At 35.5% G+C, this 19,481-nt stretch overlaps 1 long non-coding RNA gene across 6 annotated transcripts in view, besides 1 other annotated feature; it reads right to left on the minus strand.

The window, feature by feature from the left end:
* Positions 1–17,336, minus strand: part of LINC01278 (long intergenic non-protein coding RNA 1278) — a 134,538-nt gene extending 117,202 nt beyond the window's left edge. For all 6 annotated transcript variants that reach the window (NR_152611.1, NR_152612.1, NR_152613.1 and 3 more), the window contains exon 1: positions 17,073–17,336. This is a non-coding gene — a long non-coding RNA (long intergenic non-protein coding RNA 1278). The remainder of the gene's footprint in view (positions 1–17,072) is intronic.
* Positions 16,516–17,057: an enhancer, noted in NCBI's record as "H3K27ac hESC enhancer chrX:62780155-62780696 (GRCh37/hg19 assembly coordinates)". NCBI's record gives its function as "activates a minimal SCP1, AML or CMV promoter by ChIP-STARR-seq in naive H9 embryonic stem cells {active_cell/tissue: H9 hESC(naive)}" and the evidence as "EXISTENCE:reporter gene assay evidence [ECO:0000049][PMID:30033119]".
* Positions 17,337–19,481: the final 2,145 nt, after the last annotated feature.

The following is a 19,481-nucleotide window of genomic DNA, read 5'->3' on the forward strand; positions in this document are numbered from 1 at the left end:
CAGAAATAAGACTGCGCATCTACAACCACCTGATCTTGGCCAATCTGACAAAAACAAGCAATTGGGAAAGAATTCCCTATTTAAAAAATGGTGCTGGGAGAACTGGCTAGCCATAGGCAGAATAGAGAAACTGGATCCCTTCCTTACACATCATACAAAAATTAACTCAAGATGGGTTAAAGACTTAAATGTAAAACTCCAACGTATAAAAACTCCAGAAGAAAATCCAGGCAATACCATTCAGAACACAGGCAAGGGCAAAGATTTCATGATGAAAATGCCAAAAGCAATTGCCACAAAAGCCAAAATTGACAAATGGGATCCAATTAGACTAAAGAGCTGCTGCACAGCAAAAGAAAGTATCATCAGGGTGAAAAGGCAACCTACAGAGTGGAAGTAAATTTTTGCAATCTATCCATCCGACAAAAGTCTAATATCCAGAATCTACAAGGAGCTTAAACAAATTTACAAGAAAAAAACAAACCCCATTAAAAACTGGGCAAAGGATATGAACAGACACTTCTCAAAACAAGACATTCATGTGACCAACAAATACATATTTAAAAAAATCTCAACATCAGAGATCATTAGAGAAATGCAAATCAAAACCACAATGAAGTACCATCTCACCTCAGTGAGAATGGTGTTTATTAAAAAGCCAAGAAACAACAATTGCTGGTGAGGTTGCAGAGAAATAGGAATGCTTTTCATTGTTGGTGGGGATGTAAATTAATTCAATCATTGTGGAAGATGGTGTGGCAATTCCTCAAAGATCTAGAACTGGAAATACCATTTGACCCAGCAATCCCATTACTGGGTACATACCTAAAGGAATATAAATCATTCTATTGCAAAGATATATGCACATGTATGGTCATTGCAGCACTATTCACAATATCAAAGACATGGAATCAACTCAAATGCCCATCAATCATAGACTGGATAAAGAAAATGTGGTACATACACATCATGGAATGCTATGTTATGCAGCCATAAAAAGGAACGAGAACATGTCCTTTGCAGGAACATGGATGGAGCTGGAAGCCATTATCCTCTGCATACTGATGCTGGAACAGAATACCAAATACCACACGTTCTTACTTATAAGTGGGAGCTGAATAATGAGAACACATGGACAAAGGGAGGGGAACAACACACACTGAGGCCTGCCAGAGGGTGGGGTGGGGGAGGAAGAGCATTCGGAAAAATAGCCAGTGCATGCTGGACTTAATACCTAGGTGATGGACTGATACGCGCAGCAAACCACCATGGCACATGTTTTACCTATGTACCAAACCTGCACATCCTGTACATGTACTCCGGAATTAAAAATAAAAATAAAACGTTAATCCACCACAATTAAGTAGGCTTTATCCCTGGAATGCATGATTGGATGAACATATGTAAATCAATAAATGTGGTTCACTGCATAAACAGAACTAAAAACAAAACCAACATGATTATCTCAATAGATGCAGAAAAAGTTTTCAATAAAATCCAACATCTCTTTGTGTTAAAAACCCTCAATAAAAAACAAAAAAATAAAGGCATTGAAGAAAAATGTTTCAAAATAATAAGAGCCATCTATGAAAAACTCACAGCCAAAGTCATAATGAATGGGCAAAAGCTGAAAATATTCCCTTTGAGAACTAGAAAAAGGCAAGGATGCCCTCTCTCACCACTCATATTTAACACAGTACTGGAAGTCCTAGGCAGAGCAATCAGTCAAGAGAAAGAAATAGAGGGCATCCAAATAGGAATAGAGGGAGTCAAACTAACCCTGTTAGCAAACATTATGATTCTATTCCTAGAAATCTTTATATTGTGTGTCCCAAAGCTCCTTGATCTGATACAGAAGGTTAGCAAATTTCACAGTATAAAAACAATGTGCAAAGATCAGTGGAATTCCTGTACATTGACAACATCTAAGCAGACAGCCAAATCAAGAATGTAATCCCATTCACAATAGCCACACACACAAAAAAAAAAATCTAGAAATTCCACTAACCAAGGTGGCAAAAGACTTCTACAATGAGAATTACAAAACACTACTCAAAGAAATAAGAGGTGTCAAAAAAAATGGAAAAACATTTCATGCTCATGGAAAGGAATAATCAATATTGTCAAAATGGCCATAGTGTCCTAACCAATTTACAGAGTCAATGTTATCACTGTCAAAGTACCAATGACATTGTTCACAGAATTAAATCAAAGTATTTTAAAATACATATGGAACAACAACAACAACAAAGAGCTTGAATAGCCAAGGCAATCCCAAGCAAAAAGAACAAGGCTGGCGGCATCACATTACCTGACTTCAAACTATACTACAAGGCTACAGTAATGAAAACAGCATGGCACTGGTACAAAAAAAGACACATAGATCAATGGAACAGAACAGAGAGCCCAAAAATATTGCCACGCACCTACAATTATCTGATCTTTAAGGAAAATACACAAGCATAAGAAATGTGGAAAGGACTCTCTATTCAATAAATGTTGCTGGGAAAACTGTGTAGCCATATGCAGAAGATTGAAACTGGACCCCTTAACTCAAGTTGAATTAAAAACCTAAATGTATAACCGAATACTAGAAAAACTCTGAAAGATAACTTAGGAAGTACCATTCTGGACATTCTTGACATAGGACCTAGCAAAGCCTTCATGACAAAGGCGCCAAAAGCAACTACAACAATAACAAAAAAAAATTGTAAGATATCTAATTAAGTTAAAGAGTTTCTGCACAGCAAAATAAACTATTAACACAGTAAACAACCTACAGAATAGGAGAAAATATTTGCAAAGTATACTATCCAGCATCTATATCTAGCATCTATAACAACATACAGCATCTATAAGAAACTTAAACAAATTTACAAAAAAAAAACCAAACAACTTTATTAAGAAAGTGGGCAAAGTACATGAACAGACACTTTACAAAAGAAGACATTCATGTGGCTAACAAGCTATGGAAAAAATGCTCAATATCACTAATCATTAGGAAAATGTAAATCAAAACCACAAAGAGATACCATCTCATACCAGTCAGAATGGCTATCATTAAATGTCAAAAAATAGAAGATGCTGGTAAGGTTGTGGAGAAAAGAACACTTATCCACTGCTGCCGAGAATGTAAACTAGTTCAGCCAGTGTGGAAAGCAGTTAGGCAATTTCTTAAAGAACTTAAAACAGAATTAACATTTGACCCAGCAATCACCATCATTGGGTATATTTCCCCCAAAAGTATAATTCACTCTACCAGAAAGACACATGCCTGCACATGTCCACTGCAGCACTATTCACAATGGCAAAGACATGGAATCAACCTAAATGCCCATTAGTAGTAGACTGGATAAAGAAAATGTGGTATATGTACACCACAGAATACTATGCAGCCATAAAAAAAGAATGAGATAATATCCTTTGCAGGAACGTGGATGCATCTGAAGGCTGTTTTCCTAAGCAAGGTAACACAGGATAAAGAAACCAAATATCACATGCTCTCACTTATAAGTGGGAGCTAATCACTGAGTAGATATGGACACAAAGAAGGGAACAATAGACACTGGGGCCTACTTGTGGGTGGAGGGTGAGAGGAGGGTAAGGATTGAAAAACTACCTATTGGGTACTATGTTTATTACCTGGGTGACAAAATAATTTGTACACCAAACCCCTGTGACATGCAATTTACCTATATAGCAAACCTGCACATGTGCTCTCAAACCTAAAGTAAAATTTAAAAATATGTTCTTCTTTCTGATAAATGCATGATGAGGAATTTTCAGATGAAGAAAATTCTACATTTTCCCAAAAGGGAAGGCCATATATATGTTCAGAAAATCTTTGGGTGGATTAGCCAAGATTAACCAGATTAACAATGTGAATCTGGTGAGTAGTATCCCATGATAAGCATATTCATTGGTGAGTGGGATAACCTGTTGAGAATATTCTTTGTATTAGTCCTTTTGTCTTTTCTGTAAATTTGAAATACTTCAAAACAAAACACATTTAAAAAACAAGGTCCCTGCTCTTAACATTGTGTTTCTTGAGTAATTATTCTTTTCCTCAAACCCCATTAAATAGATATTAATACACAGGAATAGTTGCAGGTCAGAGATAAATAGGAGATAAAAACATCTGAAATATATTTTGAAAAATGGCTGCATTATCATATCCATTTAACTGATCTGAATAATGATTATTACTAATAACTCAATAATAATTACGATATCATGCTAAGCCAGTCTATGAAATTTATAGTCAAAATTTATTTGATTCGTGTTTTTCTAACATACAGTTCCTTTTGAAATACTACATTGTAAAATTATCTGGAATAATTTTTATTATTAATATAGATTCATATATATTAAGGCATACATACAAGATTTGGTATGTTTCAAAATTATTATAGTGTGGCAAAATCATTGCAGTATATTGTGTTAATGTTCCCAATTATTTGTTACCTCTCCCCATGAAAGGATTATAGTTTCTTGCTCTGTGGATGTCAAGCTTGATATTGACATATGTCATGTTTATGTTTTAAGAGGCATTGCATGAGTCCATCATTCTTTTCATTCTACAAATAGCTTGTCTCAGATTTGGGGGCTCCTCCAAACTAGATCCTGGAACAAAAATGATGCAGGGAACACCTCCAGAGCTAACAAGTAACATGTATAAGAAGCAAATCTTTGTTGTTGTAAGTCACTGAGCTTTTAGGGCTGTTTGTTCTCAAAGCACAAAATAACAAAAACTAATAATAACATAATACTAATCATGGTAACACCTATTTTAGAATATATTTAGAAATTATGTATTACATTCATATTGAGAACTGAAAGAAATTCCAGACTCTTCAAGTTTAGATTTAAAATACATAAAAATTCTTTGCTAGATGTGTGGGGCATGAGGGGGATTGTAAAGTCACATTTCAGGTTCAGATCACTAGGAAAAGACTTTTTACCAAACTACACTTTTTTAAAAATTATACTTTAAGTTCTGGGATACATGTGCAGAACGTGTAGGTTTGTTACATAGGTATGCATGTGCCATGGTGGTTTGCTGCACCCAGAAACTCGTCATCTACATTAGGTATTTCTCTTAATGCTATACCTTCTCTAGCCCCCAACCCCTCGAGAGGCCCCTGTGTGTGATGTTCCCCTCCCTGTGTCCATGTGTTCTCATTGTTAAACTCCCACTTATGAGTGAGAACATGCAATGTTTGGTCTTCTGTTCCTGTATTAGCTTGCTGAGAATGATGGTTTCCAGCTTCATCAATGTCCCTGCAAAGGACATGAACTCATCCTTTTTTATGGCTGTATAGTATCCCATGGTGTATATGTGCCATACTTTCTTTATCCAGTCTATCATTGATGGGCATTTGGGTTGATTCCAAGTCTTTGCTATTGTGAATAGTACTGCAATAAACATACGTGTGCATGTGTCTTTATAGGAGAATGATTTATAATCCTTTGGTTATATAACCAATAAGCGGTTGCTGGGTCAAACGGTATTTCTGGTTCTAGATCCTTGAGGAATCGCCACACTGTCTTCCACAATGGTTGAACTAATTTACACTCCCATCAACAGTGTAAAAGTGTTCCTATTTCTCCACATGCTCTCCAGCATCTGTTTTTTCCTGACTTTTTAATGATCGCCATTCTAACTGGCATGAGATACTATCTCACTGTGGTTTTGATTTGCATTTCTCTGATGACCAGGGATGATGAGCCTTTTTTCATATGTTTATTGGCTGCATAAATGTCTTCTTTTGAGAAGTGTCTGTTCATATCCCTTGCCCACTTTTTGATGGGGTTGTTTTTTTCTTGTAAATTTGTTTAAGTTCCTTGTAGATTCTGTATATTACCCCTTGGTCAGATGGATAGATTGCAAAACTTTTCTCCCAGTCTGTCGGTTGCCTGTTCACTCTGATGATAGTTTCTTTTCCTGTGCAGAAGCTTTTTAGTTTAATTAGATCCCATTTGTCAATTCTGGGTTTTGATGCCATTGCTTTTGGTGTTTTAGTCATGAAGTATTTGCCCATGCTATGTCCTGAATGGTATTGCCTAGGTTTTCTTCTGGGGTTTTCACAGTTTTAGGTCTTACGTTTAGGTCTTTAATCCTTCTTGAGTTTATTTTTGTATAAGGTGTAAGGAAGGTGTCCAGTTTCAGTTTTCTGCATATGGCTAGCCAGTTTTCCCAACACCATTCATTAAATTGAGAATCCTTTCTCCATTGCTTTTGTCAGGTTTGTCAAAGATCAGATAGTTGTAGATGAGTGGCATTATTTCTGAGGCCTCTGTTCTTTTCCATTTGTCTATGTATCTGTTTTGGTACCAGCACCATGCTGTTTTGGTTACTGTAGCCTTGTAGTATAGTTTGAAGTCAAGTAGTGTGATGCCTCCAGCTTTGTTCTTTTTGCTTGGGATTGTCTTGGCTATATGGGCTCCTTTTTTGGTTTCCTATGAAATTTAAAGTAGGTTTTTCTAATTCTGTGAAGAGAGTCAATGGTAGCTTGATGGGGATGGCATTGAATCTATAAATTACTTTGGGCAGTGTGGCCATTTTCATGATATTGATTTTTCCTATCCATGAGCATGGAATGTTTTTCCATTTGTTTGTGTCCTCTCTTATTTACTTGAGCAGTGGTTTGTAGTTCTCCTTTAAGAGGTCCTTCACATCCCTTCTAAGTTGTATTCCTAGGTATTTTATTCTCTTTGTAACAATTGTGAATGGGAGTTCACTCATAATTTGTCTCTCTGTTTATCTATTATTGGTGTATAGGAATGCTTGTGATTTTTGCACATTTATTTTGTATCCTGAGAATTTGCTGAAGCTGCTTATCAGCTTCAGGAGATTTGGGGCTGAGACGATGGGGTTTTCTAAATATACAATCATGTCATCTGCAAACGGGGACAATTTGACTTCCTCTCTTCCTACTTGAATATGCTTTATTTCTTTCTCTTGCCTGATTGCCCTGGCCAGAACTTCCAATACTATGTTGAATAAGTGAGAGAGGGCATGTTGAATATGGTGAGAGAGGGCATCCTTGTCTTGTACTAGTTTTCAAAGGGAATGCTTCCAGCTTTTGCCCATTCAGTATGATATTGGCTGTGGGTTTGACATAAATAGCTCTTATTATTTTGAGATACGTTGCATCAATACCTAATTTATGGAGAGTTTTTAGCATGAAGGATGTTAATATTTATTGAAGGACTTTTCTGCATCTGTTGAGATAATCATGTGGTTATTGTCATTGGTTCTGTTTATGTGATTAAGTTTATTGATTTGCATATGTTGAACCAGCCTTGCATCCCAGGGATGAAGCCCACTTGATCATGGTGGATAAGCTTTTTGATGTGCTGCTGGACTCAGTTTGCCAGTATTTTATTGAGAATTTTCGCATCGATGTTCATCAGGGATATTGGCCTGAAATTTTCTGTTTTTGTTGTGTCTCTGCCAGGTTTTGGTCCCAGGATGATGCTGGCCTCATAAAATGAGTTAGGGAGGAGTCCCTCTTTTTATATTGCCTGGAATAGTTTCTGAAGGAATGGTACCAGCTCCTCTTTGTACCTCTGCTAGGATTCACCTGTAATTCCATCTGGTCATGGGTTGTTTTTTGGTTTGTAGGCTATTAATTACTGCCTGAATTTCAGAACTTGATATTGGTCTATTAAGGGATTCGACTTCTTCCTGGTTTAGTGTTGGGAAGGTGTATGTATACAGGAATTTATCAATTTCTTCTGGATTTTCTAGTTTATTCACATAGAGGTGTTTATATATTCTCTGATGGTACAAACTACACTTTTGAGGTAAATGCTTGTGAGGTATATGGGAGTCATCAACTTTGAGGGAATCAGAGTACAGGGAACTCAAATTTCACAATGAATTATTTGAAAAGACTTTTAAAAATCTATTCTGTGGGACATATGTAACTTATAAATTGTCCTAATTCCCTATAACTGGAAATGAATTTTGTTTTTCCACTTTAATGTGAAAGACCCTAATTTTTATGACATCCTTTATAAAATCTTACTTTGAGACAAATGGAATTAAAAGGTTATTATGATAGCAATATGTTGCTATGTTAATAGTATGCTTGGACCATTATGAACAGGCCTAACAGTTATGAAGACTGACAACAATGTGCTGGCTACAAGGACTTCACAATTTGTAAAGGTAGCCTGGACAAAAATACAGTTTTAAACTTTATTCTTTCATTCTTAAGTTTCATGGTACATGCCTATAATAAGATGCTAAAAGAACAAATCCTACTTAGAAGGAAATTTAGTGAGTACATTTACATACTCTTAAAAAATGTCTTGCGCAACTTTTAAAAAATGTATTTTAAATACAAAATAATACATAGGATAAAAATCAAATCATACCTAGATATACAAGGGGAAAATGTGAAAGCCTCATTTCAACTCCGTCTGATCTGAATCCTATCCCTCAGAGGCAACCACTTTTAAACGTTTGGAACATATTTATCTATCCACTTTTAAACGTTTGGAACATATTTATCTATCTGCCTGCAAATACACACAAATAAATAAGCTTTTTCCTTCTTGAGTGCTATCAGACTATACATTTGGTTCTATGATTTGCTTTCTTTACTAGTCGATATAACAGACATCTTTCCATGTCACTACACTACTACTACTCCTCCCTCATTCTCTTGCAACATTTTTTTTTTTTTTTTTTTTGAGACGGAGTCTGGCTCTGTCGCCCAGGCTGGAGTGCAGTGGTGCAATCTCAGCTCACTGCAAGCTCCGCCTCCCGGGTTCACGCCATTCTCCTGCCTCAGCCTCCCGAGTAGCCGGGACAACAGGCACCCGCCACTACGCCCGGCTAATTTTTGTATTTTGAGTAGAGATGGGGTTTCACAGTGTTAGCCAGGATGGTCTTGATCTCCTGACCTCGTGATCCGCCCGCCTTGGCCTCCCAAAGTGCTGGGATTACAGGCTTGAGCCACCGCGCCCGGCCATTCTCTTGCAACATTGTATAGTATTGCAGTGGGAATATCTCCACAATGTATTTGACCATTTCCTGTTGATGGGAACTTAGGCTATGTCAAATATTTTTGCTTCTACCAACCATGCCGCAACGAACATTCTTATACATTATCAATGTAGAGTATTATAAAAATATCTATCTCCCAGAAGTAATGGCTATTAAATCCTCAACGAGATCCAGATAATTTGGTTTCCTTGCTTGAAAGGGACAAATATGCAGAGATGCCTCCATGACCACTCTTAAGCAGCATATTTATGATTATGATGATGGTAATGAGGATGATAATGGTAACTAATATTTGCTGAATACCCAAATGTCTGGCACTTTGCATTTATAAACTTATTTACTTGTCACAAAAAAGCCTGTGAGGTTAGCAATGCCGTATTTCCTCAATTCTAAGATTCACATCTTTTGAGATTTTTGGATTAGGGATGCTGAATTGATAAGTATAATGCAAATATTACAAAATTCGAAAAAAAAAATCCAAAACCCAAACACTTCTTGTCCCAAGCATTTCAGATAAGGCATACTCAACCTCTATTTACTGGTTGTGACAGCATATAGTATTGCTCTCATTTCATAAATGAGGAAACAGATTCAGAGAAGTTAAGTACTCTATTCAACATCAGACATTTAGTAAATGACAATAATGGGACACTCACCCAGGCAATCTGACGTGAATTTGTACTTTTAACTCCTTTTCCTGAAGTGCATGAAGTTATAGTAACAAGGTAGAACAAATGTTGAGCACCAATCCCCCATGCATACACCACACACATCAAAATGTAGCACTGATTATAAATATCTAGAGGATTTATAGATGGTTTTTATTTACTTATATTCTTCTGCAATTTTCCAGTTTTCTACATTGAATTAGTTTTTTAACATATTGTAGGAAGTTTTGAACTCATACAAAACTAGAGAGAATAATAATCATGAACTCCCCCATATATCCATTACTGAGCTTCAACAATGATTAATTCATCTATTCCTGGACCCATTAGCCAACACTTATTATTTCCAAGCAAATTCCATGCTTCATATTATACCATATGTAAATATTTCTGAATTAATCTCTAAAGACAATGATTTTTAAAAACCATGATCCTATTATCTCAGGTAAAAATTAATAATAATTATTTAATATCATCACATATCCAGTGTTCAGATATCCCCAATCATCTCATTTTTTAATCTTTCAATATTGAGATAATTTGTCTTAGGTGAAAATTGCAAAAATTTTGTAAAAAATAGTGCAGAACTTTCTTGAATACTCTTTTCTGCTTCTCCTAATATTATCTGTAGGATCATAATTTAAAATACTACTTAAATCAGGAAATTAACATTGAAACAGTACTATCAACTAATCTACAGATCTTATTAGAATTTCAGCAGTTTTCCCACTGATTTCCTTTCTATGGTTCAATTGCAATCTGGGATCCTATATTGCTTTTAGTTGTCATACCTCCTTAGCCTCCTCCAGTCAATGACAGCCCCTCAGTCTTTCTATATCTTTCATGACCTTGACACTCTGAAATAGTATGGTATGCCAAGCAGTTATTTTCACAATGTCTTTGTAAAAATAAATAAACAGTGGTGTTGCCTCATGAGTGCATTTTGGCAAGAACACCATGGATGTGATGTTATTTCCTTCTCGGTGCATAGTATCACAAGGCGCACAAGGTTCACATGTCTTTTATTGGTGACTGGTGATGATGACTTTAATGATTTGGTTTAAAGTGGTTTCCACCAGTTTTCTCCATTGTAAAGTTACTATATTTTCCTTGCAATTAATACGTATCTTATGGGGAGACAGTCTGAGACTACACAGATACCCTATGTCTCATCTTTCCACCCACTAATTTTAGCATCCATTGACGATTCTTGTCTGTAATAAATGTTACAGTGGTTTGTGCTTAATGGTGGCTATTTCTATCACTTTTGCACATTTTTAATTGAAATTCATCTGCAAGAAGAGCTGTTTCCCAAATCTTAACTTTATTATTCATTTATTTATTTATTATATGACTATAGATTTATGGGTATCTATTGTATTATATTATAATCCAAGACTATTACTATTTACTTTTTTGTTCAAATTATCACAGATTTGTTGACTGGGAGCTCCTTCAAGCTTTGTCCGTGTCTTTTCAACATGCCCCCATCATTTATTTATCCTTCCTTACATTTTGGCAACATAAGATGTTTCTGGCTACTCTTGTTTTGTTTCCTGCCCCAGGCTTGAAATTAACCATGACTCCAAAAAGCCCTAATTATTTTTATTGTAAAAAAAATTTAGAAACCACAATCCAGGCATTAAGTATGATCACAGCTAATGTTTTGTCATTGTTTCTAGGTCCTCTCAGTGAACAAAGCTAGGAAATATATGTATGTATACACCCACACAAATATCCACATCTACATTTATTTCTATATCTATCCTTATGTGTGCACATGTGTATATATTGATATATACATATTTACATATTGATAATGTTCTTACATCTATATTTATATATACAGATATACACACATTTATACTGATATCTCTGATTCTAATTCACATAGCTCATTTTAGCCTTCTCCCTTTCCCTTGTTTGTAACTCCTTTTATGAAACCTGTTATTACTCACAACATTTGTTCAGTCCTAATATACCCATTAAGTAATTATAAAATTGTTAACACACACCATTGTAAAAAACAACTTTCTTCACTAGAGTACAACTGCTGTGTACATTTATTTTTGTCTTTCTTTAGACTTACAGTATGCATTTTTAATAGTACTTTCCATAGTTACTTAGGTTAGCTTACTTTTTTTCTTCCCCACTCACTTCAGTGTGGTTTTATTACTCATTTGTAATATAGCTAGGTTCACTTGTAATGAATTGCATTGAACTTTTGTTTCTTGCAAAATCATGGTTGATTTTAATTATTTGTTTATTTTTGGAGGGTATGTGAAACATTCTCATGGCTCTGTTACAGCTACACAAAAAAGTATATTCACAAAACTGTTGCTCCCCGTCATTTCTACCACTCCCTTCTCATTCTCTCATTCTTTGTACCTCATACACACTAACTACCTGTAGCCTCTCATTAAGTCTCTGGCTTCCTGTATTTCTTTTGCACAATTAAGCAGATATATGTACATATTTTTACACCTCCTTCATCACATGAAGGATAACATATTACAGATATTCTTTTGCCTTTAACACTTTTAATTTAATGATATGTTCCAGAAATCACTCCATATTAGCTCATAATGATCTTCCATTTTCTTTTTTACAGCTTCATGCCACCACACTGTATGAATGTGTCACAGTGTATATGGGTATTTATATTGTTTTCAATATTTTGTAAATATAAATAATGTTGCATATTCACTGAATAACTCTGTGCATATTCACTTTTGTATTGTTGAAAGTGTATCTACAGGGAAGACTTCTAGAAATGGGATTGGTAAGCCAAAAGATAAAGCTGTATTATTTGTTAGGTATAGATAGGATAGATATAAAAATAAATGTAGATGTGGATATTTGTGTGGGTGTATACATGCATATATTTCCTAGCTTTGTTCACTGAGAGGACCTAGAAGCAATGCTTTCAAAAGCATTATACTAGCTTGCATTGGCACCAGCAATGTCTTATCTGTCTTTAACAATATGCTTGCTTAAATCAGGATCCAGATAAGCTCTATACATTGCAAGCAGTTGATACGTTTCTTAATTCTCTTTTAATCTGTAGGTGTTCTGGACTACTCCAATCCCTGTCTGTCTTTTTTTATTTAAATGTATTTGTCTAAAAACCCATATCTGCATTGCAGAGTTTCCCACAGGTTGGATTTTTCTGACTGCATTCAATGATGTCATTTGTCATGTAATTCTGTGCTTTGCATTTCCCATAAATTATTAAATTTAGAGGCTTGATCAGATTTGAGTGAACTTTTCTGGCAAAAATATTTCATAGAAGGTATTGTGTACCTTACTAAAAGGCACCTTGTGACTGGCAACCTAAAAATTTTTTAAACAGTTTATTATGTACCTTAAAGATGTATTTTTAAGATGAGGAAAAAAGTAAAGAAAAATATTTTCTATATGTGCCACCACATATAAGCTATTTCAAAAATAATTTATTATTATATTTCATCTGGTAATAAAATTGACATATATTCATCTCAAAAAAAATTGTGAGTAGAACAGTAGATGCTGCTAGACAACATTAGGATGGCTTCCTGGCTCATAAGGATTACCTAATGGTTATGTCTATGTTATTTAACCTGCCTTCACAGCCACCTGTGACTCAAGCTGGGTAATCAGAATCTCTTCACTGGAAATTTAAAACTTGGAGACACAGAGAGAGAAATCATGTTAATAGCAGCACTTTAGAAAACAAATATAGAAAATTATTGTTGCTAACATCCTTGGACAGAGAAGTGCCCTATTCCGGCTTGGGTATTCACTCCTTTGATTCTGAGAGCTAATTAGAACTTCCTCTACCTGACACCAAATCTGCCACTACCTTGATCTTGGACTTCCCAACTTCCAGAACTGTGAAAAATAAATTTCTGTTCCTTATAAGTCATTCAGTTTGTGGTACTTAATTATAGCAGCCCAAACAAACTAAGACATCAACAAAAAAGAACCTTAACAACTACAATGATACCAATCATTGATCAGAGATGAAATAATTTACCCAAGATGCTATGGGATAGTAATGGGAATCAGATCACCTAACACCCACTAAAAGATTGTACACAACAGGTCCTTCATTATCTTAGTTCCGTAGTATCTTGTCATTTTGGAAATATATCTTCTCTGATGCTAACATGGAAGGTAAAATAAGGGGTCAGAAAACTAAACAAGATAGGTAGTAAACCAGATAAGCTTCTTCTAATACCACAACTCACTGCACAAAACAATAAAGCCCATAAATAACATCATTGGGTACAGGCTATTTCTGGCCCTTACTTTTCTAAAAGATCTCTATGCTAGTTATTGAACAGATAGTTGCACTCCCAGGTTTATTGCAGCACTATTTATGATACCAAAGATATGCAATCAACCTAGGTGTTCATCAGTGGATGAATGGATATAGAAAATATGGCATATATACACACACAATGAATTATTGAGCCACAAAAAATAATAGAATCTTGTCATTTACCATAGCATAGCTGGAACTGGAGGACATTATGCTAAGTGAAATAAGCCAGGCAAACAGAGATAAATGTCACATGTTCTCATATATGGAAACTAAAAAATTCACCTTATGGAGGTAATGAATAGAATGGTGGTTACCAGAGGCTAGGAATTGCAGTTGGGTAGGGGGAGATAAAGACAGGTGGTTAATGGGAACAAAAATACAGTTAGATAGAAGGAAGATCTAGTCTAGCGTTCAGTAGTACAATAGGGCCACTAATAGTTAACAACTATTTATTGTACATTTCAAAAAAAGCAGAAGAATAGATTGGAATGCTCCCAACACAAAGAAATAATAGTTGATTGAGGTGATGGGTATCCCAGTTACCCAGATTTGATCATTATTCATTGCATGCTTGTATCAAAATATCACATTTACCTCATAAACACATACAACTATTATGTATATATAAAATTAAAAAATTAAAAATAATGTATGCTAGTTATGCTTTTCTGTTTAGGCCGAAGTCATCTCTTTTATGACAGGAAGATGGGAAAGGAGTGCAATCGTTGAAAGTTAATTTATTTCAAACCCTTTACACAGCTTCTTCATTCATGCCTCACAATATCTTGAGAATTAGGTAGCCATTATTCCCATTTTACAACTGATAAAATAGAAGTATTGCTAGGCCTGGCATGGTGGCTCACACCTGTAATCACAGCACTTTGGGAGGCCCAGGCAGGTGGATCACTTGAGCTCAGAATTTTGAGACCAGCCTTGGCAACATGGTGAAACCCCGTCTCTACAAAAACAAACAAAAATTAGTTGGGCATGGTGGTGGGTGCCTGTAGTCCCAGCTACTCAGGAGGCTGAGGTGGGAGGACTGCTTGAGCCCGGGAGGCAGAGGTTGAAGTGAGCAGAGATTGTGCCACTGCACTTCAGCCTGGGCGACAGAGTGAGACTTTGTCTCAAAAAAAAAAGTGAAATAATTTTTCCAAAGTAATCCATCAAATAATTCATAGAGCAAGGAAATGCATTACAATGTCCATTAACATAAATACATGTACTGAAAACTGAAACAATCAAAGTGGTCATTCATAAAATGGAAAAATAAATTGTGGTAGAGTTACACATTAGAAACAGTACAGTAGGGAAAATAAATTAACTGTTAATAAAAGTTATCAACATAAAGCTCCCAACCATATTTTGACTAAAAACAAGTTGAGAAGAATATATACAGTATACCATTTATATTAGATTTTAAAGGAAGTAAAATATATATTTCTGAGATATAAATGTACATGTGGTAAAAAATTTAAAAAATTATTCATAGAAAAAATAAACCCCAAACTCATGATTGGAGTAATGGAATTAAGGAAGGTTACACAGAAGATCTCAGCTGTATTGATCAAATTTTTACTTGTTAAACTGAGCTAAGGCTACAATGGTATCGGTTGAATTTTTCTTTACAACCTTGTGTATTGCTTAATATGTAATACTTTAAAAAAGAAAGTAAATGGTATCTGGAGTATAAAAATTAATGTTGAAATAAATGTACATGGATCTTTAAGAAAAAAAAGAAAGAAAGAAAGTTGGGGAAGGACGTTGAGAAGGAAAGCAGAAGTGGGGAGGAAAAACAAATGCTACAATTCCACTACCCAGAGATTTTCATTGCTAGTTGTTTTGTTCATAATTTCCTATAGCATTTTTTCTGTTCATATAGAAGTATGTATTCACATATATTGTAAAGAAATATTTGATAATATTATGACTACTACTAGAAAACCTATTTTGTAACTTATTTCACAGGCACCAAATCAGTGCCATTTAAAAGGGCTGTATTCTATCCAATCATATTGTTATACCACAATTTATTTTACCAATTCACTATTGATGGGCATTTAGATTATTTCCAAAGTGTGCTATTACAAATAATGCTGCAATTAACACATTATATGTGTATGTGCATACCTGTGTGTATTTTCAGTAGTAACTGTGTTGAAAAAAAATTCCTAAGGGTAGAATTTCTAGGTCAAAGACTAAGAGGTTTTCAAGTTTGTTACATATGCCAAATAGCCCAACAATAAATGATTATACTAATTTACACACTTAATACTGTAATTGAGTGCCAGTGTCCCCAAACTCTGCACAACACTGGGCATAAACAATCTTTTTATCCCCTTGTCAATCATAATCTGCTATTCCGTTTTTTCATGTGCATTTATTAGTGAAGCTGAGTCACTTTTTAAACGTTTACTCACCATACTTGAATAACTTCTTCTGATTTTTTTGCCATTTTGTTAACATTTTTGAAGTTTTAATTATTATGGATATATAATAGTTGTACATATTTATGGGGTACATGTGATATTTTGATTAGAACATACAATGTGTAATAATCAAATCAGAGTAGATGGTATAACCATCACCTCAAGCATTTATCATTTCTTTATGTTAGAATCATCTCAATTCCGCTTTTTAGTTATTTTGAAATACATAATAAATTATTGTTAACTATAGTCGTCCTATTACGCTACCAAACACGAAATCACAAATACCAGGAAAGTTAACGGAGAACTGGATCAGGAGCCAAAATGTTTACATTCGAATTAAGGCTCTGGATTAATGAAAATGCGTAACCAGGAAAAGAAAGAACAAGAATAATGGGGACATAGAGGGTGAGAGAGGAGAAAAACGAGAAGAAAAAGCCATGTAAGGAAAAAGAATTTGCGCCTCAGGGTCCCCCTCCCCCTCTGCCCTGTTCCAGACACCTATTCTCATTCCCGCACTCCTACCCCTGGCGTCCTGCTAGCTGGTCTGGCTTCCTTCCCTCTGGAAAAAGGCAAATTATTCAATAAAGGGAGGATGAGTCCTAGCTCATCCCCACTTCTTGTCTCCTGCCGGGTGTTCAAATACAACTTACCACGCAGTCACCGCCATCCAACTGCATGTCACTCTCCACTTCGCCACGGTCTGAACTCTTGGCCACAAGATCTAAGCCTTCCGGATGCCCCAGCCAGTTCAGGCTGCTGGTCTCTTGTCCCTAAGCCTTTGCCGAGGTAGTCGGCTTACTTGATGCCAGCACACCAGGCCCCCCACCACCCGCTGGAAGCACAGGCCCCAGCTCAGGTCAGGTTCCGGAACCTAGCGTCCCCAGGTTCTCACGTGACTTAGTTTCCCAGGCAATAGCGCTTTTCTCCCGGATGTAGCAGTCAGCTGAAATGGAGAGAGTGCTTCTTAAAGTTAACCCTCAAACCACCATGGCCAGTGAATGCAGAATAAGCCCGCTGAGAGTTTCGTCTATTTCTATGGCATTATGCTGGAAATTATAAAGAAAAGGGATGAAAAAAACTGGAGACTTTTCACCAACAACAACATACAGATCTGTATTATTAGGATTCTTAAAATGAGTATGTGTTGTTTTTATAATTAAACTAACAAAAGGAAAATAAATAATGATGAATAATTAAAGCGGGATTATGTATACAACAAAACCGTATGATTACAACAGCACCTTATGTAGCTTTGAAAATAGGTAATGCTTCATGAGAGAAGTTATAGCAGTGTGCAAATATCAATTCAGACCTTAAACAAGAAGAATATACACACCAAAAGAGATTTCTTTAAACAAAATCTATGCTGTATGTGCCCTATGATTGTCACAGGGCTTAGAACCTGATATTCGGCTATGCATTCCTGTCAGAAAGAGCATGTTGCAGCCATGTCAGAACCAACCAAGGTCAAGAATTTCTTGTGACCAGTCGTGAAGTCCCTGAAGCAAGAAACAGAGAAACCCATGCTGGTAAGAAATGAAGAGACTCAGACCCTGCAGAAAGATTAAGAATAGCGATCGAAGACGTTAACTTGGTTGCAATCTGGCTCTGCCCTTTACAAAGTTATGCGACCTTTTTCATCTGTTAATTGCTTGTTGTAAATATTAAATTAAACAAGTCAATGTGTATAAGGCATTTAAAACAATGTCTGGCAGTGAGAAGACCTATTTGATAAATAAATAAAATATGGACACAGACATTGCAGCATAGGAATCCCTCAATCAGGAATCCTAGGTCTCCAAGAACACTGGTGATACTAATTTAGCTGTACAAGAAGGAGGTGTCCTGTGTGGGTGACATAAATATTTCAGGGTTTGGAGAGAAACATTCCTACATTTTTTATTTAAGAAAACAACACACCAAGGTTGTTTAGAAAGGCAGAGTGGACTCTGAATCCATGCAGCCTAGATTTGGATCCTAGCTCTGCTATTATCTGCGTTATTAGCTCAAGTTATTTAAGCCTTCTGTGCCTCAGTTTCCCCATAGGTAAAATAAGGATAACAGTACTAATTTCATAGGTTTGTTGTGAGACAGTAACATATTAAATAAACTTACAACGACTGCCACATAAGTACTATATAAATATTGATTAAAAGTAGTAATAAGAGACAAAAAATATTGGAAAATTAAGAAGTAAACCCACAAGGAACTACTGTCTCAGCCTAAAGTAAATCAAATACATGACCACTGCCAGAGACCTTGTCAAGGTATTTCAGATAAGAAAATCTTGTCCAATGATGTTATCGTGAAGCTGATAAGATTGTAATGTCCTTGGAAAACAAAGGTAAGCCCCTCAGAAATCTAGAACAAGTATGCTTACAACATAAAGTGTAATCCAACCTGACTAAGATGGGGAAATGATAACCTGAGCTACTAGAGTTGGAGCTGGGGCCAGTGAACTACAGCTCAAGGGCCAAAGCTTGTCTACTATCTGTTTTTGTTTGATCAGAGGACAAATAATTATTTTTACATATATAAGTGGTTAAAAAATTAAGAAACAAATATTTCATGACATGTACAAATTATATAAAATTTAAATTTAAATGTTCAAAAATAAAGTTTTATTGGAACACAAACACATTCATTTATATATTGTCTATGTCTACATTTACACTATAATGACAGTGTTCAGTACTTAAATTAGACATTAGAGCAACAACATAAAAGGATTTTAGGTCTCTGTTACCGTGGAGTCATCACACCGACCATGGATAAATTATCCTCAGACTGTCACATATTATTTTGAGTATTTTTATAGCAGTTGAATTAATCTGTATTCTGACCTGTACAGAGTACAGGCAAGTTTATACAATTGATTTGGCTTTCTAGATGAATGGGTTTAGATGATATTTATTTAAAGCTTTGCAAGATTCTGCTCAAAGCAATTCAGCCCAAATTCATCAACTACAAATTAGTCATTTTAAAAATCATTTTCGTGAGTTTTGTTCCAAAAGCGATAAAAATGACTAATCACCTAAAATACCCTAGTATTACTAAAT

Source organism: Homo sapiens, chromosome X (genome assembly GCF_000001405.40).
Source record: "Homo sapiens chromosome X, GRCh38.p14 Primary Assembly".
NCBI lineage: Eukaryota > Metazoa > Chordata > Mammalia > Primates > Hominidae > Homo > Homo sapiens.